The 27,659-nt window shown below is 35.8% G+C and overlaps 1 protein-coding gene across 52 annotated transcripts in view; it reads left to right on the forward strand.

Annotated features, from left to right (window-relative positions):
- The window catches only part of SGIP1 (SH3GL interacting endocytic adaptor 1), a 217,779-nt gene extending 190,120 nt beyond the window's left edge, over positions 1 to 27,659 (forward strand). For 51 of the 52 annotated variants that reach the window (NM_001376535.1, NM_001376549.1, XM_047432059.1 and 48 more), the window contains 6 exons: positions 5,784 to 5,939; positions 10,268 to 10,400; positions 15,855 to 16,057; positions 17,178 to 17,242; positions 17,792 to 17,956; positions 19,593 to 27,659. In NM_001376535.1, coding sequence (NP_001363464.1) covers positions 5,784 to 5,939; positions 10,268 to 10,400; positions 15,855 to 16,057; positions 17,178 to 17,242; positions 17,792 to 17,956; positions 19,593 to 19,615 — 745 coding nt within the window. In that variant the 3' untranslated portion in view covers positions 19,616 to 27,659. Of the gene's footprint in view, positions 1 to 5,783; positions 5,940 to 10,267; positions 10,401 to 15,854; positions 16,058 to 17,177; positions 17,243 to 17,791; positions 17,957 to 19,592 lie in introns of those variants that run through there. The other variant, XR_007064415.1, reaches the window with a different exon arrangement.

Raw genomic sequence — 27,659 nt, forward strand, 5'->3', positions numbered from 1 at the left:
TTCCTATTTAAAGAACATTGGTGCTTAAAAACAAGGGTCAGAGATTAACTCTCTAATTCCCTAGAAAAGCTTAGGTTACTCGGCTCTCTCTTATCCTTCTTTTATCATCACATTTTAATTATTTATTCAGTATCTGTCTTCCAGTTTAAACTAGAAATTTGCACAAGGACCATTTGTCCAATTTGTCACTGCCAAATCTAGCACATTACATTGTGCCTGGTATATTGTGTAGGCACCCTATAAATAAATAAATAAATGTATGAATTTATTTTTTAAACAATGAGTTCTTACTCTGAGTTCTACATTATGCACCGTTGCCTTCCCAGAACCTATGACCCAGAACTTGTCTTCACAATAGTAGATAAGATGTGCGTGAAACTGCAACATAATTTCCTAGAAAAAGATCTGTACCTATCTCCAAGCAAACCCAGAGAAAGGAGAAACCAAGGAAGGCTAAATGGAGAGGATATTAAGAAATGTTTCGGAAAGGCCTTCTTTTGAACTTAGTCTTGTAATATGAAAAGCAGTACATAAGCCAAAGAAAGGGAATTGTAAAGAAAAGAAGAGAAGCTACATCTACACAGATGTACACTGAGAAACAGACCTAGGGGTTTTGTTAGCAGTACATATAAATTGTATTTTATGAGAGAGATGCATCTCTGATGACCTCACACATTCCCTGAACAAAACTGGCCAGTGTTTCTGTGACCAGCTAGGGAAAATCCAGTGTATAAGTCACTTGGCTGGTTGACTTTGAAGTTTTGCCATTTTTTGACAAATGTTTCATTTGTGAGGATTCACATGATTTCTTATTTTATTCATGAAGTAAGCATCTATTCATATTTCCATCTCACATTATTTCCACCATTCAAACTCACATGAAATGTAGCCACCTTGCATACTGGTAGGAAAAATCCTTAAGTTAAAAAAAATTCTTTGGTGAGTATAGAAAATATTAAATTTTTATATAGAAAATTTCAGGTCAATTTAGACACTGGATGGATTAATAAGTCAGCAAAAGTTCTGGCTCTGACAGTTGTGATGCTGAAATGTAATTGAGGCCTCAGTGCTTCTTACACAGGACTACGTGGACTACTTCTCCCACCTTCTACCCAACACTGTAAGCCCTTTGAAAGCAGAGGCTATTTTGCTCATTTTTAAATTACCACCCCACTGGAAAAAATAACAAGAACAACTTGCATAGTTAGGAGTGAATAGACAGATGCCTGTTGAGTTAATAAATGCCACCTCCTCCCCTGTCTGACTTGCTTTCAAAACAGAAACTTTATCTCCTACCAAGACACCATTTAGATCTCATTTTGAGCAACTTGGCAAGAAAACTGAGAAAATTCCCTACCAGTTAAAGAACAGTTGAGCCACCACTGCTAATAACAATATTCTAAGTGATGGTAGGTGCTGAAATCTAATTTTATAAGTGCTCTAATTGTTTTCTAATAGCTGCCAAACAATATTCTACATGTCCACATATGGACAAATATCAAGAGTAGACTCAGCTTGAGGGGAAATCAAGGTTCAGAACCAATTTGGCACTAGTATACAAACAGGGTTAATGGATCTAAAAGGTAGAGAAGGAAGACAGCAGTTTGCTCCCAAACTGGGAGGTCAGCAGTGTTCTCCAGGAGAGATGGAAATGCAAACTTCCAGAAACCAAAAATCCCATTCAGAGCACTACAAAGTTATGGATTTAACACCTGAGTGAGGGAGGCTCACATGGCATCTTTAAGAAGCTCATCTGCTCCCAATCTCTGCCCCAAACCCAGCCTTATACCTACAAGGTTATAGCAGTTCCTCATTTAAGCTATTTTGAATGTATGCCAGACAGCACCTCACCTGAACCATGTGTGTTTCATCCATTAGAGTTACACAATATCCAAGGTGACTGTAGGACAACGTGGAGTCTCCATGCTCCAATGTGAGCAAAGTTTTCATTTATTAACATCAATTTCCCCAGAAAGTACATACCTGAACTTAGAGGTGAAGTACTACAAGAGTCAGCTGTGGAGACATTGGAGGAAATCATAAAGAAGCTCACTCACTTTAAGCATTTACTGTGTCCCAAAGAAGAATAAAATCCTTGTGAAATTTCTGCTTTAGCCAAGGTAGAGTAACAGACCAATTTACCCTTCTACCTCAAACAGCTTAAAAATAAGCAAAATATATAAAACAATGACTTGCAAGACACTGGACTTCAGGCGAAGGCAGTGATCCCTAAAAGGGGAGGTGTGCCCTATGATTGCTCCAGCTTACCTGCTTGAGAGTTTTCAGGCCTGGCATAAGGAGAGCCCAGCTGACTTCCAGCTGCTCATGGGAAGGTGTTTCACTGAGGCACTCTACTACAAAACTGGCCGAGGGAATTGCCAGGGGAAGCTAAGGTTGATGGGTGCTGCCGCCACCATGCACTGCAGAAGATGGCAGTGGAGAAGGTGTGAACATGGCAGGAGGCTGGAAAAGAATCCATCTGCATTGCAAGATCTGGGCATTGTGGCAGCCCAGCCAGTTGTACTACATGAGTCAGATGACAGGAAAGCTGTCTGTGCTACCAGGCACTGGCAGAGTTATATGGCTTGCAAAACCTACACTCTGGGGACACTACATGCACTGCAGGAGCCACACACAAGCCTCTTGTAACTTCAACAACCTAGCACTACGTAAGCCTTGTGCATTGCAAGAGCCTGCATTTGCAAGCAGGCTGGAAGGGTGAAGGAAAACCCCTTTCTCCTGCAATGTCTCTCTAGCGCCCTCTACTGACAAAACTAAGCATGGTTCCTGCAGGCAAAGAGAAAAATACAATAAAGATCCGTTAATTTTCTCAGAGCAGTCAGTAAAGGGTGAATTGGAACGGGGAGGCAATGATTGATTTTATATAGACATTGACACGGTGATTATAAACCTCATGTGGAAATTCAAAGGGCCTACCATAGCGAAAACAACTATGAAAAGGAACAAAGTTAGAGGACTAACATTACTTGATTTCAGAACTATCATAAAGCTACTGTAATCAAGACAGTGCAATACTGGCTTAAAAAATAGACCAAATAAATCTATAGAACAGAATGAATCGTGAATCCAGAAATTGACTCACACAGATAAGGGCAATTAGATTTCAACAAAATTTTCAAGGTAATTCGGTGGAGAAAGGACAGTCTTCTCAAAAAAATGATGCTGAAACAACTGGATATTCATATCCACACACACACAAAATGAACTGAGATCCATACTTGACACTATATACATTGTAAGACTAAAATAGGTGAAAATGGGTAATGAAGCTAAATGTAAACTCAAAGATTTTTTTTTAAACTTCTAGAAGAAAATATAAGTGAGACAGTTGCAGTGGCTCATGCCTGTAATTCCAGCAGTTCGGGAGGCCAAGGCAGGAGGACTGCTTGAGGCCAGGAGTTTGAGACTACAGTGAGCTATGCTCACACGACTGCACTCCAGTCTGGGTGACAGAGAAAGATCCTGTCTCAAAAAGGAAAAAGAAAATACAAATGAAACTTTTGTGACCTTCGGTTTGGCAAAGATTTCTTAAATAAGACACCGAAAGAATGACTGGATTAGATATAACCCATAAAAGAATAAATTGATGAATTAAAAACTTCTGCTCTTCAAATGTCCTTTTAAGAGAAAGAAAAAACAAAACAAGCCACAGACTGGGCTGCAAATTATATATCTGATAAATGACATTCCCAGAATGTATAAAGAAACCTTGACATTCAATAAGAGAACAAACAACCCTATTTAAAAACTTGGCAGACAGTTTAAGCAGAGGATAACTGATGACAAGCACATAAAAGATGCTGATGATCCTTAGCCATTATGGAAATGCAAATTAAAACAACAAGAAGATACCACTACTCACCTATGAGAATGGCTAAGATTAAAATGATCAGTTCTACCAAGTGTTGGTGAGAATGTGGAAGAACTAAAACCCTCATGCACAGCTGTATTTTCCACTTTAGAAAACAGTTAGGCAGTTTCTTTGAGAGTCTACACCTATTATGTGAGCTAGTGACTCTCCTCCTGTGTACTTACCAAGAGAAATGACAGGGTATATTCATACTAATACCCGTACACGCGTATTCATTGCACCTTTATTTGTAATAGGCAAAAACTGGAAAGAAGCCAAATGTTCTTCAGTAGGTGAATGTATTTTTTAAAACTGTGGTATACCCATACACTACACAGCCACAAAAAGAAATGAACTATTAGTGCACACAACTACATGAACAAGTCTCAAAATAATTATGTGCAGTGAAAGAAACAAAAAATCACACACCTTACAATTCTGTTATATGAAATTCTAGAAATTGCAAATGAAGTTATAGTGAAGCATATTAACTCTTGCCTAGGGACAGGGAAAGGAGGCAGTGGGAGAGATTACAAAAAGGGATTGCAAAAAAGCATAAGAAAACTTTCAGGGATGATGGAAATGTTCATTTTCTTAATTGTATGATGATTTTACATCATATAATCTCATGGAGTTTTACACTGTATATAAGTTCAGTTTATTATATATCAATTATATCTTCATAAAGCCTTTTTTAAAAAAAAAGAATTGTTTTTCCTTCCACGCTATCATCCCATTGTGTTAACTTATATGACTGAGTTTACAATTTTGACCAAATAGACAAATTAATGGAATGAAGAACTAGTTAAGTGCAAGGCAAAAACTTTACCTCATGAGTACATAAAACAACATGCTAAAGGCATTACTCATGTTACTCGAAGAGCTAAGTAAGACAAGTCCAGGAAATAATGTGATAACATTGTACAATATACTATCTTCAAATATGCTGCCAAAGATTCAGAAATCAAAGTGAGGGAGAACCACCAGAGTAGAGGATTCTATTCATGAGGTGAAGCTATAGACTTCTACAGAAAGAGAAAAGCTGTACTTTTCTTCTTACATTTCAAAACACATAAAACAAAATAGTCACTTTTTAAAATAAGTGCTGACCATTGAGTTCTCAGATAAGTTAGAAATGATACACTGCTGGTGAGAGTGTAAATTAATTCAACCATTGTAGAAAATAGTGTGGTGATTCCTCAAAGAACTAAAAACAGAACTACCCTTTGACCCAGAGATCCCATTACCGGTTATATTCCCAAAGAAATATAAATCATTCTATCATCAAGACACATGCATTGGTATGTTCATTGCAGTACTCTTCACAATAGCTAAGACACAGAGTCAACCTAAACGGCCATCAATGATAGACTAGATAAAGAAAATGTGTTACATATACACCATGGAATACTATGCAGCCATAAAAAAAGAATGAGATCATGTCCTTTGCAGGAACATGGATGGAACTGGAGGCCATTATCCTTCCCAAACCAACACAGGAACAGAAAAACAAACACCACATGTTCTCACTTATAAGTGGGAGCTGAATAATGAGAACATGTTGACAGAAAGAGAGGAACAAAAGAAACTAGGGCCTGCTTGAGGGAGGAGGATGGGAGAAGAGAAAAGTTCAGAAAAAAAAAACTGTCAAATACTATGCTTAGTACCCAGGTGACAAAATAATCTGTACACCAAACCCCCAAGTCACATGTTTACCTATATAACAAACCTGCACATGTACCCCTGAACCTAAAATAGAAGTTAAAGTATTTTTTAATGGAATTGTAAGAGCCTGCCTTTTATCTCTTCTGCTATTTAACATTGCCTCATAAATTGTTTTTCACAGCAGTTTTGATTCAGTGTATTGACATGGATTTTCTCTCTCTTTCCTCTCTGTGTTTTGATATGCCAGATGTATCGTTAAGATTACCGGAGAAATGGTGTTGTCATTTCCTGCTGGCATCACCAGACACTTTGCCAACAACCCGTCCCCAGCTGCTCTGACTTTTCGGGTGATAAATTTCAGCAGGTTAGAACACGTCCTGCCAAACCCCCAACTTCTCTGCTGGTAAATATGATTTTGCATAAATTTTTCAGAGATACATGTGGCTTAGTACTTTGTACTTAGATGAGGGATATATCTTAGCAACAGGGTCGCACTATAGTGAAATTACCACCACTCAGATATATTTGTAGATTCAAGCACAGAACTTTTACCAGCTATCAAAATTTGTTGTGGGTGGTTGTGTGTGAATGTGTGACTGCATATGCATATACGTGTTTTAATGGCCAACTATCTCAAGTGGTTAGAGAGACAGGGTAAGAAAATCTGTATCAGCAACAGTTTGTTCATCGTCTGTTTTACTCATTATCAACAGACAGTGGATGACAATGGTGGGAAATGAGCCAAATAACAAGAATAAAATCCTTTCATTGTATGAGCATCTTTTTATTTTTATTTTATTTTTGAGATAGAGTCTTGCTCTGTTGCCTAGGCTGGAGTGCAGTGGCACCATCTCAGCTCTCTGCAACCTCCGCCTCCTGGGTTCAAGTGGTTCTCCTGCCTCAGCCTCCCAAGTAGCTGAGATTACAGGCGCCCACCACCACACCTGGCTAATTTTTGTATTTTTAGTAGAGATGGGGTTTCGCCATGTTGGCCAGGCTGGTCTCAAACTACTGACCTCAAGTGATCTGCCTGCCTTGGCCTCCCAAAGTGCTGGGATTACAGCCATGAGCCACCACGCCTGGCCTTCTTTTTAAATCAATTGTGTGTGTAGGTGTGACTGTGCATGTGCATATGCATAATAAAGACATCAAATTCAGGTTTAATAGTTAATACAATTTCATTGTAATGATCATTGTTTTGATGGAATTTTACATGTATGACATAAAAGAAACTTATGCAAATATGTTTATATCAATGTAATTTTTCACATTTTCTAACTATTAAACCTGAATTTGATGTCTTTATTATGCATATGCACAGTCACACAAACCCACATGCATGCATGCTATTAAAATGATCAATTATACAAGTTAATTATTTGCAGTGAATGAGCTGAAAGAAGTCTTCTTGACAGCTTCTCCATCAAGTCCTGATGTTCATCTACAAACCTCTCTCTGAAGTGGCCACTTTTTTCTTTACTGCCACCTCCCTTGTCCAAGTGACCACTGTCTTTTCCCCATACCACTGCAATTGCCTTCTCTCCCTGAATCCAATCTTGCCCCTCTCCAATACATTTCAACAGCCAGGTGGTCTTTTGTGAGTAAATCAGGTCTCCTTTGTTCACAACTCCCTGGTGGCTTCGCATTACACCTGTCCCAGAATCTAAACCTGTTACCATTGCCTTTGAGGCCTTGAGTTGTTTACCCTTGTCTGCCTCTCCATTCTCATCTCCCACCATCCTGCCTCAGAATCCTTTTAGCTCCAGCCAGACCTGCCAATCTCAGAAACAGGCTGCATCCTTTCCCACAACAGGGCTTTGTAGTACTTGTTTCCCCTGCCTCGAATACTGTTTCAACCTTCTTCACCTGACTCCAACTCATCCTTTAGTCTCAGCTCTACTCTGCCTCCTGGACTATCCCATTCTCCTCCCCATACCCCCACCAACCAGCCCCAAACTAGTAGCTTGGTGCAAAAGTAATTGCAGTTTCTACCGTTACTTTTAAATGACAAAAACCGTAATTCCTTTTGTGCCAACGTAATAAATTCTGTCCCCTTGTTATTCTCTCTAAAGGTACCCTGTTCTTTTCCTTTGTAGCACTTACTACAGTTAATAATGACATATCTATTTGTGTTTCTTCATTCATCCATCTCCCCCACAAGACTGTGCAAACCGTGAGGGAATGGAAAAAGTCTCTTAATTCGAATTCTTGCTTCAGTTTCCCTCCATTTTTTGGTTGTGCACGTTGAGCCAGTTTATTTTTCAAGGTTCCTCCATCTGAAATTAGGAATTATGTGCCAATATCTTGCCAGTTTGTTTGTAAATATGACTGGTGTCATAGTTACAGCTTTTGTTGCATTGCATTTTTAGGCAGTTATGTTGCCAAGTTCTTAGGCATATGTGCAAAAGTTGTATACATATATTAACATACTGGTCTTATACATAGAATCAAACATCACTCAAAGTGGTTTTGCTTAACAAAATATTATATAGACCCTTAAATTATTATTTACAAAAGTAAAAAAAAAAGAAATAAAATATATCCCATTAATTTGGATCTTATGAACTCTACTTGATCACTGTAACAGGGCTGTGATGAGTGACCCTTTAGTCATCTATAGACTCTTTAGTTTCGTTATGCAGTGCCACTCCACTACCTCAACCACCACAACCATCCCCAGTTTTTTAAAAAGGCATTGTTGACCAAGCATGATTCTAGATTGCAGTACCAGCCTTTAGTGTCTATCATCAGCCAATTGTTTCCTTAATGTTTACTGAAGAAGACTTCATATGTCACCATGGCCCCTGGAGACATTTCAGTTTGCAATCCCTATGACAGGGGCCAAATTGAAATTTACATCTACTTTTTTCTTGTGAAAAAAGTTTGCTTGTAAAAAATATGCGGGAACAATTGTCAACTCAAGTATGAGACTGAAGAATGCTCAAGGCTTCTTGAGCATTTAAGAATTCCATCTCTGTGTAAGCATTTGATTGGCAAAGCTTTCTTGAATATTTATTAAAGCAGGTTCTCTAAGAAATTATCACAGACCTATGACAGCTTATTTTGCTATTAATCTCAGCAAATGTATTTCTTTAAAATAGCATTATATAATTGAGGGTTTCCCAGTTATTCAAATCTACTTAGTACAAATTAATGACATGTTGCTAGATATTAATTCTGAACCTCTATTTTGGCATGGTGTGAAAGTGTTATTTGTAGAACTGATATGGGCTGGAATCTGGCTGTTTCTTATTAGCTGCATGACCTTAAGCAAATTATTTAATTTCACTGACCCTCTGTTACTCTTACCTCCTGCCTGCTTGTATAGCAACAGCTCTGGGAGCTTGGGTAACTTAGATGCTTTTCAATTTAAAAAAACTCAGATAGCCCTTACCAGCATCCCTAGCTCAACTGAAAAGGGGCAAAGTCTTAAGGACCAGGTGTATTTTCCACCCCCTTCCTCCATTTCCAGGGCCAAAGAGCTTTGCCTCATCCTCAATAACTTTATATCCAGGGACAGCAAAACCACACTGGTCACACTGAGACTTGGCCACTCTTTCCTAACAGATCAGTGACAGTTTTAAAGCCCTGGTGTTTTTTACTCAGCTTTCTTGATTTATGAGACTTCTGGAGGCTGAATCATAGCAACTTACTTTTGACCTGTCTTTTCACTTTTTCACTGTATCAGCCTTCTCTCTTCTCAACCCCTAATTTTCTCTCTTTTTTTTTTAACAAGTTTGCTCATCTTTAAAAACAAAGACAATAATTCTTCCTTTGCAGGGTAGATTTTAATGAAATAGTTTATAATGCCTAGCATATAATAGGTGGTTAAGAAACTGTAACTACTGTTATTGCACTATATAGGATATTCTGAAAGTGAACTGTCAGCAAATGTGTGTGACAAGTAACTGAATCACTTGTGGCCTCAGCTTCCTCATTATACGGGAAATGAGTTATATGTTTGTACACTCTTGCCTGATTCTTTTTATCATTGAGATGAGCATTTGCAAGATAGATTGGGTAAGTGGTCTGTATACAGGCCTCTGAGCAAAGCTAAGACTCTCATAGGGATATAAAACTTCTTAGCTTATAGAGACTCTGCTCTTCTTCTGTATTATAACTACCAAAATTATCATTTAAACTCCAGGATCATCTTATAAGTGAAGTGAAATCTTTGATGATTTAAATGCTCATGGATGAAATATTATGAATGCTGAAAAGGCAGCATGGTAATTTTAGTATCACTCTTTTCTGCTTAGTTGGTGATAAAGACCATGTTTACATTTGGCCAAATATTTCACTGGATAATTTCTGAGAAACTACTGGTCAAAGTAATTCAAAAGTAAATAAACGTATTCAGTTCCTTAATTGCCTTAACTGACTAATTTAGACAAAGCTGGTTTCATAGAAAGGGATATTAAGTTTGAGTTAATAAATAATTCACTCTTTAAAGCTCCCAATTATCATCGCAATTAGTTAATATTACTGAGCACTCACTGAGATTGATAGCAACACAGTAGCTCCTCCTCGTGGATATTAATCTACCAACACCATAGCATTCAGAACTGTATTTGTATGAAAACCACACTACTGTTAATAGATTCATAATAATCTCTACAAATTGTCAAAAAATGGCTGTACATATCAGACGACAATTTGCTAAGATGCTTCGTGTAGGGTTTATATTTGTTTTAAGATGCTACTCAATCATTTTTCTTCCCAAATGAACAGTGATAATACACAAAATGATGCCAATACCAAGGAATTCTGGGTAAACATGCCAAATTTGATGACTCACCTAAAGAAAGTGTCTGAACAAAAACCCCAGGCTACATATTATAACGTTGACATGCTCAAATATCAGGTAAGCCTATTTACATGATCGGTATCTCTTCCACATGACATATTTGTTTTCTAAAGTACCTACTATTGAATAAAAGTAACTAAAGTAACACTTCTTTTAACAGTATTTAAAAGCTATAACTCATTTTTTTAAATGGAAACTTTAAAAGATAACTTGGGGACTACTGACAAAAATATTCATACATATTCTTATTAGTTTAAGCTTACAAGTAAAATATTTTATCACAAAATTAGAGAAATGTGCCACAAAAAAATGAAGTTGCAAAACATTATACTAATTAAGATTATAAGTTTATATTGATAAACAAGATGATTATAATTTTGTTAAGAACATTACTATACTAAAACCTCTTATTTTAAATGATTCAAGGTACACAATCTGCTTTTGTTTTTCTAGTAAGATAGTCCTATGAAAGAATTCTAATAAAATCTAACACTAAGAAATAGTTCAATAATAAAGGAATGTTTGATACTTACAATATATGAGAACTTTCTTTTTGTATCTAGAATTGCCCTTATCTCAAATTATTATTGATATACTAAATAAGCCTAATTCATACCAGGATCCTGATAGTGCCTGAGTCTCTCATTGGTTCCCAGCCACTTGACTGCCTAGATTTTTTTGGTTTTTTTTTTTTTTTTTGAGACAGAGTCTCACCCTATCACCCAGGCTGGAGTGCAGTGGCACAATCTTGGCTCACTGCAATGTCCACCTCCTGTGTTCAAGCGATTCTCCTGCCTCAGCCTCCTGAGTAGCTAGGAATACAGGCATGCACCACCAAGCCCTGCTAATTTTTTGTATTTTTAATAGAGACGGGATTTCACCCTGTTGGCTATGCTGGTCTGGAACTCCTGACCTCAGGTGATCCGCCCGCATCAGCCTCCTAAAGTGCTGGGATTACAGGCATGAGCCACCACACCAGCTGACTCCCTAGATTTTTTTAAACTTTTTTATTTTTTAAATTGACAGGTACAATTGTATGTCTGTATTAGGTACAACATGATATTTTGAATATATGTACGTTATGGAATGACTAAACTAACATACGTATTACCTCACATAGTTATTTTTGTGATGAGAACACTTTCCATTCACTTTAGCATTTTTCAGGAATACAGTATATGGTTATTACCTACAGTCACCACCTTATGCAATCAATCTCTTGAATTTATTCCTCTCATCTAACTGAAATTTTGTGTCTTTTGACCAACATCTCTCTAAACAAACCCCCACCCCACCCCACCACCACTACCTCAGCCTCTGGTAACCACCATTCTACTCTCTAATTCTATAAGATCAACTTTTATTTTTATGTTATTTTATTTTATTTTATTTTATTTTATTTAGTTTTTTGAGATGAAGTCTCCCTCTGTTGCCCAAGCTGGAGTGCAGTGGCACGATCTCGGCTAATAGCAACATCCACATCCTGGGTTCAAGCGATCCTCCTGCCTCAGCCTCCCAAGTAGCTGGGATTACAGGCATGCACCATCATCCTGGCTAATTTTTGTATTTTCGATAGAGACGGGGTTTCACCATGTTGGCCAGGCTGGTCTTGAACTCCCAGCCTCAGATGATCCCCGTTCCTTGGCCTCCCAAAGTGCCACTGTGCCCAGCCAAGATCAACTTTTAAATATTCCACATAAGAGTGAGATCGTGTGGGCCGGGCGCGGTGGCTCACGCCTGTAATCCCAGCACTTTGGGAGGCCGAGGCGGGTGGATCATGAGGTCAGGAGATCGAGACCATCCTGGCTAACAAGGTGAAACCCCGTCTCTACTAAAAATACAAAAAATTAGCCGGGCGCGGTGGCGGGCGCCTGTAGTCCCAGCTACTCGGGAGGCTGAGGCGGGAGAATGGCGTGAACCCGGGAGGCGGAGCTTGCAGTGAGCTGAGATTGCGCCACTGCAGTCCGCAGTCCGGCCTGGGCGACAGAGCGAGACTCCGTCTCAAAAAAAAAAAAAAAAAAAAAAAAAAAAAGAGTGAGATCGTGTGGTATTGGTCTTTCTGTGCCTGGCTCATTTCATTTACCACGTTTTTAATGCATTATAATTTTTTATTAAATATGTTCAGATTATTTTTCTTCAAATGAAGGAAGTTGTACTTTAATAAAAATCAGGACATCTCAAACTTGACTGTATTTCTCAATCAAATGCTGGTTCTGAATTGATGCTAAAAAGAAATATATGTGTATACATATTTAAATAATATAAATATTTATTTATAATATTTACATATACAACCTAGATACATATAAAACCTATACAATCTATAACATATAAAATAACACATTATATTCATAAATATAAATATTTATACAAATATTTTAAATATAAATATTTATACAAATATTTTAAATATAAATATTTATACAAATATTTTAAATATAAATATTTATACAAATAGTTTAAAATATTATATAAAATATGCAAATATATAAATATGATATATGTGAATATAATACGATATATTATATGTGAATATAATATGATATATGTGAATATAATATATAATATATGTGAATATATTATATGTGAATATAATATATTGCGTATTATATGTGAATATAATATATTGCGTATTATATGTGAATATAATATATTGCGTATTATATGTGAATATAATATATTGCGTATTATATGTGAATATAATATATTGCGTATTATATGTGAATATAATATATTGCGTATTATATGTGAATATAATATATTGCGTATTATATGTGAATATAATATATTGCGTATTATATGTGAATATAATATATTGCGTATTATATGTAAATATAGGTAGAGATCATTATTAAATATACATATATGTATTTTGGGGGGTGTTAGGACCTAGCAGATATATATATTAAATATACTTTTTAAATTTTATTTAATTGGTTTAGAATGCCACCCAGGTATCTGTACTTTGTATAAGTTTCTCAAGGGAGTCTATGCATCCTCTGCTTTGGAAAACATTTATTTAAATTGTTGTAAGAAAACCATTTAAAGTGAAATATCTATAAAATGGTGTATTTTCCAGAAATGCAAAAGAATATAATTTTTTCTTGTGAGAATAGTATATACTCTTCAAACATTATGGATAATACTGAAAAAATATATAATATGGCATAAATTCATCACTTACAAATTAAAATATAATAGAAAACACATTTTATTTAACTTCTTCCCAAAATATTTAAACATGCTTAGTGACTGCTTTATGCTTTGGGAGAAATGAAAGGAAATAAGAAAGGAAAACTCTAAATGTAATTTTTTCTCTGAATGAGAAGTTAAATTTCGAGGCAGAAGTTAACTTTCATGTATGGTTTGCATCCCCAAAGTGTGCAAATAAGTTGGCACTTCTTTCCCTTCGTGGACTCTAATTATATACACTGCATGTACATCTTCACTTCAGATAAAAAAATTTTTTAAATTATTAAATCCTATAGAGTTTTTTTCATTTCCGTATTTGTTATTAAGTAAATCTAGAAATTAGAATTCACCTATTGCAGTATGAGCTTTGTGTAAAGTATTAAAGTGTAGGCAAGGGCTGCGCACGGTGGCTCATGTCTGTAATCCTAACACTTTGGGAGGCTGAGGCAGGAGGATCACTTGAGCCCAGGAGTTCGAGACTAGCCTGGGCAACATAATGAGACCCCATCTCTACTTTTTAAAATAAATAAATAAAGTGTAGGCAAGATACTGAATTCTAGAATTAAGTCAGCTTTCTACTGGCCACTGACCTCAGGTGCTTAATATCCCAGAACTTCAGTTTCCTCATCTACAAATAAGGGTAATAATGATATCTACTTATTTTATAGGTTGCTATAAGAAGCTAATAATAGCCTAATATATTCCAAAGTACTTTGTGAAATGTCAACAGTCCTAGACTTGCTGTTTTATTTTAACGTGTTCTCTGAGGAATCCCTTTTGCTGTTGTTTAGCTGTGTTTTTGTTGTTGTTTTTCAACAATGCAAGGAATTGGGTGGAGAAGCACAACTAGCATTTTGTGGAAATGGCCCTTAAATTGCAGCATGTTTAGTTTCTGGCCCGATAGCATCCCCCCAGAAATTGGGACGATCAAAAACACATTTTCATATATCCACAAAGCACCTCCCCAGGTAGAGGAACTATAATCAGGTTGAGAACTACTGCTGAGGACAGAGTCCAGAAAAAGGGGTGGGGGAGGGGGATTCTGCTCTGCTTTTGATCTGCTTTAGTTAATAGATTTCTTAATAAATGTTTGCCTGCAGAAAGCATTATGCTGCCAATAATATTTAAAGTTTAAAAACTATAATGATTAACTAGCTTAAATTGTCATCAAAAGCCATATCTGTCATTTTATAAAAGAATCCATTTGGGGGCTTGTTTCTGCCATAACCACTCCTGCCTTGAGAGTTCAGTCTACCTTCAGGACCCTTCTCCATGGTGATCATATGTGCAGGCATTTCCTAGACAGTTGTTTATATCCTTCAAAATCAGCAAAGCTCATCACAGTCCATGAATAAAAATCCAAGGGCATAGACACCACTCATCTGATCCCTGCAATGTACATGTACTCATGAGAAGTGACTTTCTTAGACACCTATTCACCACCATAACGAACAATCGAGAAATTCCAACACTGTGAATTTTTCACTGTGGACCCAGAATTCACATCAATATTATTGTCTTTAGATAAATGTTTGTTGATTCTTCAAACCTGGCTTTTTCTTGGTCAAGCTCACAGCTGATTCTAATTAGTATCAACAGTAGATTCTAGCACTGTAGCACTTCCAGCTAAAGGAATCCCAAAGGAAGTAAAAACTAGAAGTAACTTCCTGTTACTCCCTTTGGGATTTGCCAAAGCAAGGCCTTGAAACCAGGTGTGAAATCCCAAAGGAGTAATACTAACCTACCCTAGTCTAACTCACTGGTTTGTTGTTGAAGAGCAAATATGGTAAGAATATTAATAGGTGACATTTATCAAAATGTATTCCTAGTGTGTGCTAGGCATCCTGCTGAGTGTTTCACAAAAAAACACCTCCTTCAATCTTCCTGACAACCCTATGGGTAAATATTATTGTTGTAATTCCCATTTAGCGGATGAGGGAAGTACAGAAGCTCAGAGAGGTTCTGAGCTAGGGACTTGTCCAAGATCACTCAGCTTGTAAGTAGAGTTGCAGAATCAGAACTCACACCTGGGACTGTCTAGCTTCCTGGCCTCAGCTCCTGGCCAGCATGCTATTCCACCTCCTTAACTGACACGAAGTGTACTGAAAACTCCAAAGTGCCACCGAGACTCTAATAGCTGCTTTCGTGTTTTTAGTCTGTAACAGTTTACTTGAAGCACCCAGCTCTCTCACAGCACGCTTCACGGTGCCTCTCACTCACGGTTGCTTGTGAGCAGCATAAACAACATATGACATTTTGTTTGATGTCTAAGAACATCCCTGTCATATGTTGTTATTTTCTTTCCTGTCGTTCGGCAAGGTGTCTGCCCAGGGCATTCAGTCCACACCTCTGAACCTGGCAGTGAATTGGCGATGTGAGCCTTCAAGCACTGACCTGCGCATAGATTACAAATATAATACAGATGCAATGACGACTGCTGTGGCCCTCAACAATGTGCAGTTCCTGGTCCCCATCGACGGAGGAGTCACCAAGCTCCAGGCAGTGCTCCCACCAGCAGTCTGGTATGAAGCCTCCTATTCTCTCCACCAAAGGGCTCCTCTGGGTCAAGAGGTCACAGACTCCTTAGCACTTGCGTGTCCTGTAGGAGGAGATGACAGCAGGCCTGTGCATTAGGGTTCAGGGCAGGAAATAGAAACCACTGGTAGCTATTTTAAGCAAAAACTAATTCAACAGGGACTTCAATGCTTACACAATGGTGGAAGTGCTAAAGGAACAGGCTGGATCTCCAAAAATGCCTCCCAGAGCTCTGCAGAACTGGCCTGCCACAATCCCGGGAAGGAGAGAAAGTAGAAGGCTACCGGTAGAACCATTGAATTCAGGAAGCCACAGCTGTAATTCCGATCCTAGGACCAGCAAGCTCCTATTGGTACCTCCTTAAGTGCTTCTTGGCACCCACAAACTAGAGGCTAGAGTGGACTCCTGTTGTTAGAAGATCCCCACATCTGAGTTAGATTGCTGATCAGAGGAAAACAGTCAAGAAAGCTGCAGGAGAATGGCCTCTGTCTCCCTTCTGTCTTCTAAATCTCAAACCGTGCATGCAATTGGTAAACCTAATTTGTACCTAGGACCCTAACTGCAAAGGCCTCTGAGAAATGTAGTGTTTCATTTTGTAGCCTCTGAACTATAAAAAGGCACACTAGAGAAGGTATGGGACTAGAAACTGAATAGATACATTGTGCCTATATCATCTATTATAAAGGACTTGTTCTAGAAAGAGCATTTCACTTTTTCCATACGACTGTCAGAAGCAAAAAGTGGAATTTGTTTTAAAAATGAATGTCAGCCAGATCATGACCCCAATTTAAATTACCTTAATTAATTGATTAACACTCCTATCTTCCCATGTATCTGTCTTAGCAGATTTATTTTAAAAAAAATTAATTCTACTTTGTCCTCTCAATGTTCATCTCATGGTGTTCTAGCTAGTTACAATAAGGACAGAGGAAAAAAGAGATTTATGTATGTCTGGGAGGGGAGAGAGAGAGACAGGGAATTTTTAAATTGTAGTGAAAGTTTTCAAGCTCTATTTTAAAAAATTAATACTATCTGGAAAAAAAACATGGCATCCAGTAAACAAAAACTCTTGGATATGCAAAAACCTTTTACCTAATTTATTTTTAGGAATGCTGAACAACAGAGAATATTGTGGAAGATTCCTGATATCTCTCAGAAGTCAGAAAATGGAGGTAATGGAATCACAAGTTTATTTTATTTAACATGTAAAGCTAAAATGGCTTTAGGTATTTGCCAACTATTACCCAAAACATGTAGCAATAAAAACAAGCAGAATATTTCACTCCATTTTTGCGTTTACTTATTTCAATTAATAAAAGCAAATAATTCTTCAATGAATTCTCTTTTTCCCCTTTTCTACAGACTCCACATCAAACAAACTATCATTTAGGCCTCTTAAGGAGGCATGTTTCCATCCTGTGTCAGATTCCACGCTCCCTGATTAGATATTTTTCACTCTCCTCAGATATTAATCATAGGTTGGAAAATACAAGGGCTTCCAAGTAGCACGTCTTCAAATTTTGAGGTACCATCTCATGGAAGTACACTTTTACCAGTGTGCAAATAGAATTGCTCATAATATTCAATGATAAACTCATTTAATCACCATTTTGTCAAAGAATCATGTCTGATTTTGTACGTTAACTTTTGAATGCAACCTCCAAAATTATATCCGAAATATTATGTTGACTGTTACCTTGTAATAATGTGTTTTTTTTTAGGGGTGGGTTCTTTGTTGGCAAGATTTCAGTTATCTGAAGGCCCAAGCAAACCTTCTCCATTGGTTGTGCAGTTCACAAGTGAAGGAAGCACCCTTTCTGGCTGTGACATTGAACTTGTTGGAGCAGGGTATCGATTTTCACTCATCAAGAAAAGGTTTGCTGCAGGTAAATGAGTATCTTGATTTTTTCATTTGCGAAAATAATGTTGCCTTGGCTACTCTTAAGAGGAATAGGTTGTGATTTTCTCATCTTTTTCCTCCACCTCTTTCCCACTCCCAACCCCCATCCCAATTAGAAAACCAACCAATTATTGAATGAAGTAGAAATAGGACAATGCACTAGAAATCAGAAGTCAGGAGGCTCTGACTTCTAACTCTGTTTCTTAAGTGGGGCTAGTTGTTCCCATTATATAGATGTATATACTGAGGTTAATGGAGTAAATCCTACTTTTATTATATTGACGAACAAGACAAATACTTTTTGCCTTTTATTTTTATTTATTTTTTTTTTTGGTGAGACGGAGTCTCTCTCTATTGCCCAGGCTGGACTGCAGTGGCGCGATCTCTACTCACTGCAAGCTCTGCCTCCCGGGTTCACGCCATTCTCCTGCCTCAGCCTCCCGAGTAGCTGGGACTACAGGCGCCCACCACCACGCATGGCTAATTTTTTGTATTTTAGTAGAGACGGGGTTTCACCGTGTTAGCCAGGATGGTCTTGAACCCCTGAGCTCGTGATCCGCCTGCCTCGGCCTCCTAAAGTACTAAGATTATAGGCGGTGAGCCACCGCACCCAGCCTTGCCTTTTAATTTATCTCCCACCAGAAAACTTTTTGTTCTCTGACAGGACTTCACAGAGTTTAGACTTGTCAGGTTTAGCTGAGATCTGGGAGAATCTATTTTTCACTTTAATAACAAACTCAAAGAATCTAGGCCACAGATCAAAACTGGTCACCCATAAGCTGAATGTGGCCATGAGACAGGTTTTATTTGGCACAAACAATGGGGTTTTATTTTGTTTTTCAATTGGGGGAGAGGAACTCTCTAATACTAGAGTGATTATACTTTTCAGTGATTTGCTGGGATAAATCCTGGTTTTTTTATGTCTATTGTACTGATGTAATTATTAATTATACCCTTTTCGCTCTCAAAAATGATCCAAATTGGAATATAAGTTATATGAGCACCCTTTCTTTTTTTTTTTTTTTTTTTTTTTTTTTGAGACGGAGTCTCACTCTGTCGCCCAGGCTGGAGTGCAGTGGCGCTATCCCGGCTCACTGCAAGCTCCGCCTCTTGGGTTCATGCCATTCTCCTGCCTCAGCCTCCTGAGTAGCTGGGACTACAGGCGCCCACCACCACGCCCGGCTAATTTTTTGTATTTTTAGTAGAGACGGGGTTTCACCGTGTTAGCCAGGATGGTCTCGATCTCCTGACCTCGTGATCCGCCCGCCTCGGCCTCCCAAAGTGCTGGGATTACAGGCGTGAGCCACCGCGCCCGGCCTATGAGCACCCTTTCTAACATAAGTTGGATTCTCACATCCAGAAATAAATCTCCCAATCTATTCTGGGCAAACCCCAAACCTCTGCAAATTGTTGATCTATGGAAATGTGAAGAGGCAACTAGCTGATCTGAAAAACTGAAAATTGATTTGGAAACTTTATGTATCTTTTATTCGTATTGTACCTCTGAAGTATGCAGTATCTGGCTCCTAGGGGTAGGGAAGGAGGAATAGAAAAGTTACCCATATAATAATTACATTATTGAACTACCAGATAACCTGTTGACATGCTGTTTTGTTTTGCAGGAAAATACTTGGCAGATAACTAATGAAATCTTATGCAAGGATTTGGAGGATTCATATAATGGAGAACTGATGTATGAGAAACAGATTTTAATTTTGGTTTGATGAAAACAAACCAATATCTGCACTTGGGATATATCAGGTGGAAAGTCAATGACTTTCATCTGTGATTTCCCTCACACACTACCATGATGACCAGTCCTACAGTATTTACTTCTAGGTGTAATATTGTTAATGGTTTTAAAATGTAATTATTGTATTTGTAAATTGTACTCTCATTCCAGTAAGGCAGTTAGACACTTGAGTTTTAGCATTTTACCATTCCTGAAATGGATGTAATTTAAACTGTGGTATGTAAATTTAATAGTAGTATTGTTGAATGGCACAATGCTTACAGAGGTAGATTGCATTTTGTCAATATATAAAATTTAAATATAATATTGATAGCTGTCATAAAGGGGGTGCCACATATTAAAGAAACTTAAGTGGAACCAGAAGAAAAAGAAACAAACTTACTTTTCTTCAATGCTTAGTATGTTTTACTCTAGTGCTAAATAAAAACTCTATCTTCAAATGTTTAGTGGGTTAAATTGAGAAACTATTTCAGAAAAAAATTCTAAGGTTACAGCATATTCAAAGAAAAGCATTAGTTACCACTTTTTAAAAAGCTTTTTTTTCAAACTGCAAATTTCATAAAAATGCAAACTGTGTAAACAGGGCCTCTTATTTTTATAACTTGTGTAAAAAGGGAAAGCAATTCATATTTAAAGTTTAAGTATATTAAATTATAATCAAGAGTAAAGAAGATGTTGAAGTCTTAACTACTTGCCCCTCTCTACAGTTTCGCAAATGTGGGGATTGCTGAATAATCAGTCAGACTAAAACCAAAATTGTGATTTTAAGATTTCAAGACTTTCCGTAGTTGAACTGGTTAAGAATTTTTGCTTAGTTACTCTGAATAGATGATCTTACTCATCCAGTATGGGGGAATGATACCTCACGTCTTCCTCTTTACCCACAGGAATCAAAACGCTGAGACTGAGAATTTTAGGGAAAAAAAAGTCCACTGTTTAGATCCAGAAGGAGAGTTTTAATCATTGTTTATATCATTTGAGAATGAAAAAATAAGCTTCATAAATGAAATTCTATTCACATTACTGTGTAATAAATTTCCTTTTGGATGATTAGGATTCATTGTATAAAACTGTAAATCTTTGCCATTCTTGGAGAAGCAAAAGGAGAGTTATCAAAAATGTATGTCGTTTCATCGTTGCAAGGTATAATAAAAACTGTAATTATTCAATCTGGCCCTGCCATATGAACATTTAGAAAGACAAACTTCTTCGGGAGTCTCAGTTGTAAAACCTTCCCTCATTAATATCTGAAAATGTTAGTCTTCCTTTAAGTCATAGAACTTATTTAAACATAAACCAATTTCTATTACAGGTTATGCTATTAAATAGCTGTAATTATTAAGTTATTATTTTTATAATTAGTTGTTAAATTTCATTTTACACCCACTCAAATTTAACAAAGAATCTTTAGCCCCTTTAAATTTTAGAATTAAATTAAATTTTTAAAGTTTTACTTCTAAAATGAGATTGTGACTGGCAATTGTTTATAGTGAAACTTTTTAAATTAATCTTTGTACTCCTCTATCAGTGCTTGCTACCAAGAGAATGTCCAAAATGATTTGTTTTACCATGGGAAAATTCTTACTATTCAACAAACTCTCAGTTGGCCCCCTACAGCAGTCTGGTGTTGAAGTTTCTTTGAACGAACTAAATATACTCATTTTATGTAAAGGTATCCAATTTGATTTTGAAACCAAAATAGAAAATGCAAAATTCTAAATTCCATGAAACATGGAATTTATGACACCAAAATCAATGGAGAGTAAGCAGCAGCAAACTGAGAATTATCCAGCATATGAATATAACAATGTGTTTTTAAGTAATCAATTCATTTAAAAAATTGAATATTAATACAAAGCATATTAAAAACATGTAAATATTACTGGTTCTCATGTCTTTGTATTTATATTTTATTTTGTTTTATTTTGTATAGATCTAGAATGAATTAGTAATTAAACACAAGGGTTTTTTTCCCAAAAAATAATTTTACTGATTTTTAAAAATTTAATTAAAAACATAGATTACAGTAATCTCTAACATTATTCAAATCTTTCTAGGGATTAAATTAGAAACTATGAAGAAATCCTATAATCTCTTAACTGGTCTTTATGGAACAGAATGGGAGTCAACAATTTCAAAATGATTGAACTATGAGTAACCAGAACCTCAATAGAAAATGTATCCCTTCACCTTTCAGAAAAGAGATCAAATAATAACACAATAAGCTGGTATCAGGGATTTGCATTTTGACATTTTGTTGTTTCTTTTTAATTTTGTAGATTATAATCTCCTGTTACATCTATATCCACAGTACTGTAGAATAAGAATTCATGTCCTGAAAATGGTCCCAGGCAATGAAAGAGTCTCAGTTATCAAAGACATTAAGTCAGATTCATTTATTCATTTTATTCCCAAGTCAGAACAAAATGAACTAGTAGGTAATAAAACTATTTTCAGTACTAGGGGTTAAAACAAAAAGAAATTGTTCTAGTTAACCAGAACACCATTTCCTGAACGTTATGATCTTTAAAAGGTTCTGCTTTAGCAAGATAAAAAGTATAAATGATGCTACTTTATTTTGGCAACATGGAAATTTTGTTTTTCTTTTCCAATAAAATCCATATTTTCGTGAAATTTTTAAAAATAAATTTGTATCAAGGATTAGTCTGAATTTTATCATAATAGAAATTTATAATTACTAAGAATTAAATTTTTAATCATTTTTAAAGCTGTGTTCTTCTCTACACCCACAGCCAAAATGGAAATTCACTGTATGGTATTTGGGAATATATTTCACCTGTAAAAGAAAGAATGTCCACAATTCAAACGGTTTTGAGTTAATAGATAGGAATCCCTCAGTCAAACTACAGAATTTTTTTTGTTTTATATATTCTTAGTCAGCAGAGTGTTTGAGCTATAATTACAAGTATTTCCACTTCTAAATCTTCTTTTAGAAAAGCAGATAACTATAATACCTTGGCTCTGCCACTGACTCCTGCCGTATGATATTGGACAAATCACTGCCCTTTTCAGTTTCTCATCTTTAGAATGGGGAGTTGGGATTGCCAGTGGTTTTCAAGCTTTTCTTAACAGCAGGGCTTTTTTTCTAATAAAATTGCACATGGAATCCTGGTAGGCAAAACAGCTCAAAGCAATGCAGGAGTTTCTCCAACAGTTTAAATTGGGGCTCCCCAGAGCATGGTTTAAATACCATAACAGTACACAATGATCTATCATGTGTCTTCCAACTCTGAAGTTCCACAGTTGTAATTTACTCAGATAAACCACCTTTTGAGGCTTTATAAGCAAACTTGTAAAAACACAGTAATTGAATGATATACAATAAAAACTGACAGAGTGTTTACCATGTACCAGTCACTAGAGATATTAGCTCATTTAATTCTCTTATCAATCAAAAAATTGTAAGTACTCTTTTTAATTCCTGTTTTACAAGTGATGACACTGAGGCTTAAATAGAATAATCTCCCCAAAATGACACGGCAGCTGAAAGTAACCCAGCTATTCTGACTGCAAAGGAAACGCCTTAATTGCTTTGTCCACCCTGAACAAAACAATCTGTTTTATGTCACTATACGTACTCCATTTGAATGCCAAGGTAGAAGGCACCATGAAAAACCATTACCAAAATAAGGATAATTCCAATAACAAAACTGTCAAAAAAGAATCACTGCTTCTCAAAATATGATTGGTATCATCACTTATTAATGTTTTGTATCATCACTTATTAATGATTTTGGCTTGGTCACCACTATGCCTGGAAGATAGTAGGCACTGATAAACATTGTTAAACACCGTAACAACACAAAATGATCTACCACATATCAATGTCTTCCATCTCTGAAATTCCATGATTCTACTTTACTCAGATATACCACCTTTTGTGGCATTATAAGGAAACATGTATAATCAAGTTCATACAAGCTATACACAGTAGGCATCGATAAATTTGTATTGACAGCATAAACTTCTAGGGATGAGATTTGGGAATATACATTTTGATAAGTGCTCCAAATTTGAGAATCATTGCTCTAGTAGATCTCTAAGGTCCTTCTTAGTTCTGACATTATATCAGATTTTAAGCATTAAATTCTAAGATGAAAACCATTTTTCTAGTCAGTTTATTTTTCATTCAGTCCACTTAATTTCCTCCAATCTTAAAAAATTTTTTTCCCTAGGAAAATCCCTATCTTTTTCTTAAAGTTACTCTGTTATACTATCTCAGTCTCAAAGTAGCCTGAAATGCATTTTCTCATTTTCATATTTCTGTCCTTTTCTTCAATGTCTTAAAAGACTTGAAGTAGAAGGGAAGTTGCAAGCTGTTATTTATTCAAATACAAAATCCTAATCAATGTTTCCTTCTTTGCAAGGGACATTCAGATCTCTAACTTGTGAGTTGAACCTATTTATTTTGTAAGCTTTTGACTTTACAAACATGTGGTAGCCTCATTCTAAAAGAGTTGCACGAATATTTTTTCTCAAAATAACCACAGGCTGTAAATTAAATTGAACAATACAGTAGAATATGCAGATACATACTAAACAGATGAGTGTGTGTGTATGTGTCTGTGTTTAAGCTTTTCCTTTTCCAAAAGATTATACATTTGAGCAAAATCCCATTCAGTCTAAATGTACTCATTTTGCCACATGGTTTTCTGATCAGCAATTTTTTTAAAAAATGGAAGTGTTACATTATATTTAATAATATCAAAACAAGAGTGATCTCTAAATATAGCTTTGAAAGTTAATATAATATGATGTGTCCATGCAATGAGTCAAATTAGATTGTTGATATAAATGAACAAATCAATCCAAGTTACATTGATTAAAGGGACTATTTGGATGACCAGCCTCACCATCTTTTACTGTGTGCACTTTCCTCTTAAGGTTTTATTGTATTTTCCCTGCTCCTTTAGGCTTTTTTTTCATGTGGAAAACAGTATCTAAATGCCATTCTCTCACTTATGAATTAAATATGGCTACCATTAATGTTCCTTTTTGTCAGTGGAGTGTATGGAAGGAAAATGAGATAGGAGTACATTGCTTAAGTCTCTAAATATTAAAAACAACAACAAAACACTTGCCTTTCTCTTGTGTCATTGCTTCAATGTTCTGTCATCTTCTGCAAGCTAGAGTTGCACTGCTGACATCTAATTAAGATCTAAATATATTTCATGAAGGAATGTCAAATGTAAAGTCTGTTGAGTTGACCATGGTGAACCTCTTGATTGGCCCTCACATTTAATATCTGATTTCTCTCCTAAATGGGTATGTCTATGAGGAAAAGACACCTATTTGTTGGCATTGACCATGGGTATAATAATTTATTCTCTAGGTTTAACTTCTAAAATTATTTTTCCTTTGATTTCTAACTGCCTCCTTCTATCCCTAGAGTAATACCTTGCCTACCTTAAATACATCTTTATCCTTGTAAAAAATGTTTTGGCAAAAAACAAATATATTTTTAAATGTCCCGTAATGTTTTAAAGAAAAGAAGTAAAGTGTATTTGGGCTATGCTCACCAATATTCCAGTATTTTACAAATTGTGTTCTGGAAGATGTTCATTGTGGTCTGAGAACAAATGGTCCTATACTATAATTCTCTCTCCTTGGACATTGACAATAAATGTTAGTGTTTTAATGAAGCTTAAGAAAGTTATTGAATCAGGTAAAAAAAATTTTTTCTAAGCACACCTTGAGAAACCTTTGGAAAAGTTTTCTTTTAACACTAGTTTATATATCCTTCAATAATTGTAAATAAAATAACCAGGAATGCTTTGAAAAAAATGCTTCTGGAATTTTGTTTTAATTTTAAGAGAATTCCTGTCATTTCAAATGAATTGTTATCTATTTTAAATTTCATTAGTATCTCTTAGTGAATTTAACTTTATCATCTAAAATATTCAAAACAAAACAATAAAATTATTTTAATTTTTGTATTATTTTTAAGGCTTGCACCTATGACCAGCATATCAGACCCCTATCTGTTGAAGATGTTTCCAATTCTTTGCCGTGTGGAATTAATGCCAGTGAATAATCTCCAGTAACGTTTTACTAAACAGCTTTAGGAAACTGAATCATGATAGATCAATGTTGACAGTATTTTTACATCAGCTTGTCAGAAATTATATTAAAAACACTTTGGGGAAAGCTAAGAGCAGTGCACTGTTTAGCACAGATTTTGTGAGATTCTATACTCTTTTAATGAGCATTTCATAGGGTTTTTTTTTTGCTGTTTTTTTTTCTTTTTTTGCTTTGCTTTACTTTGCCAATCAGTTACTTTTATACCAAATTAACGAAGTTTCTTTAAAAACTTCCTGGTTAAATTGTCTGTTATCATATAGAAAAGAATCAAACTGAATCACTTTACATTTCTCTAAAGATAGTTCAGTTTTTAATCCATCCAGAGTTTGTGAATCAGCCTGATAGATCATAAGCCATTTATAATTTTTAAACGTTCCATTGAATGAGTATATCATACAAATGTTAATTCCATCTCGCTCATTCAGTTTTACATTACTTTTATGAATTTTTTTTCTCGCAAAGTAAATGCTTGATGTTATTCATTCACCATCACTCTAAGGTATTTTAAATCATACAACAAGTAACTATCACAAGAACCACTGTCCCAAGATCCAAAGTCAGATTTTTTTCCCTTTTCAAGTTGCTAGAATGATAATTCATATAGCTGTGTTGATTTTTCAGGTCAGAATTTAGTTCTTGCTTTGTTAAATGGACATACATGAAAGAGATTGGCTCCTATCTAATTCATATTCTCTCTCTCTCTCTCTCTCTTTCTCTGTGTGTGTGTGGGGGTGTGTGTGTGTGTGTGTGTGTGTGTGTGTGTCTCTTTCCTCTCTGTCTAAGGGGAATTGGAAAATTGCTGCTGAATAATTTTTCTTGAAAAAGCCAAGTGTTGATATGATGATATATTAATCTTATCTATGAACAGAGCTTCACCACAGGCCAAGCAGTAATGTATACAGCTGGCTTTTTAAGCTGTTTGAACACTATTGTTTTCGATTAAAAAGAGTTTTTGTTTGTTTTTCACTTGTATAGTAAAAGATCATATGAATTAAATACTCGGATATTAATTTTCATTCTTACTAAGTGGCCATGTAAGGCATTGATTTTTTTTAAACTTGAACAATGCAAGAATCTAGGAATCTCAGAAAGATTTTGCTGTGTTTCTATAGGTAATGAAATCCTGTCAATTAAGGAAAATGCTGTGTGTAATTTGATTTGGTGGTAGCCTTTATTTAGAGCTCTCTTTGATCTATGTAGCAAAAATACACTAAATTTCTTTTTAATCTTGTACTAAGTACATAATTTCACAAAAATACCTTGGGCATAAAATACTTACAAAACTGTGAATTAAAATACTCAAGATACTTTCAAAATTTAGTCAAAATGTTGATTCCCAGCCTTTTTCCTACACGTCTATTTCAAAAGAGTATACTTTTTTCTGACAGCCATTACTGCTTAGTCTGTAATGAAAGCTTTACTGCTTCTATGCTGTGCTCAAGAGAAAACCAACAACGGAAGCGAAGACTTACTTGCTCCTTCACAGAATTGCAGCAAAGCTCTCTGCTGGGCAATGGTGACAGGAAAGTGTGTAATTGACTTGTTGAAGATAATCATGAGACCATCTTAACATTACTTGCCTTATAAGTTAGAAATAGTATGGATATCACTCTTTGTAAATAATAATTTTTGTAAATGTTTTTTGTTCATAATTTTCCCAATCACCTATTTCACAAAATCCTGAATATGCAATTATTTATTATGACACGTTACTGCAACTAGGGCTCCCATTCCAGAACAAAGTTTAATTCTATATGTAAGTTGTTACTGAAATGTGATTTCTTTTTCTGGAAAATAAATGAAAAATATGAAAATAAATTGAATTGTGAATATC

The sequence above is a fragment of the Homo sapiens genome, chromosome 1, assembly GCF_000001405.40.
Source record: "Homo sapiens chromosome 1, GRCh38.p14 Primary Assembly".
Lineage (NCBI taxonomy): Eukaryota > Metazoa > Chordata > Mammalia > Primates > Hominidae > Homo > Homo sapiens.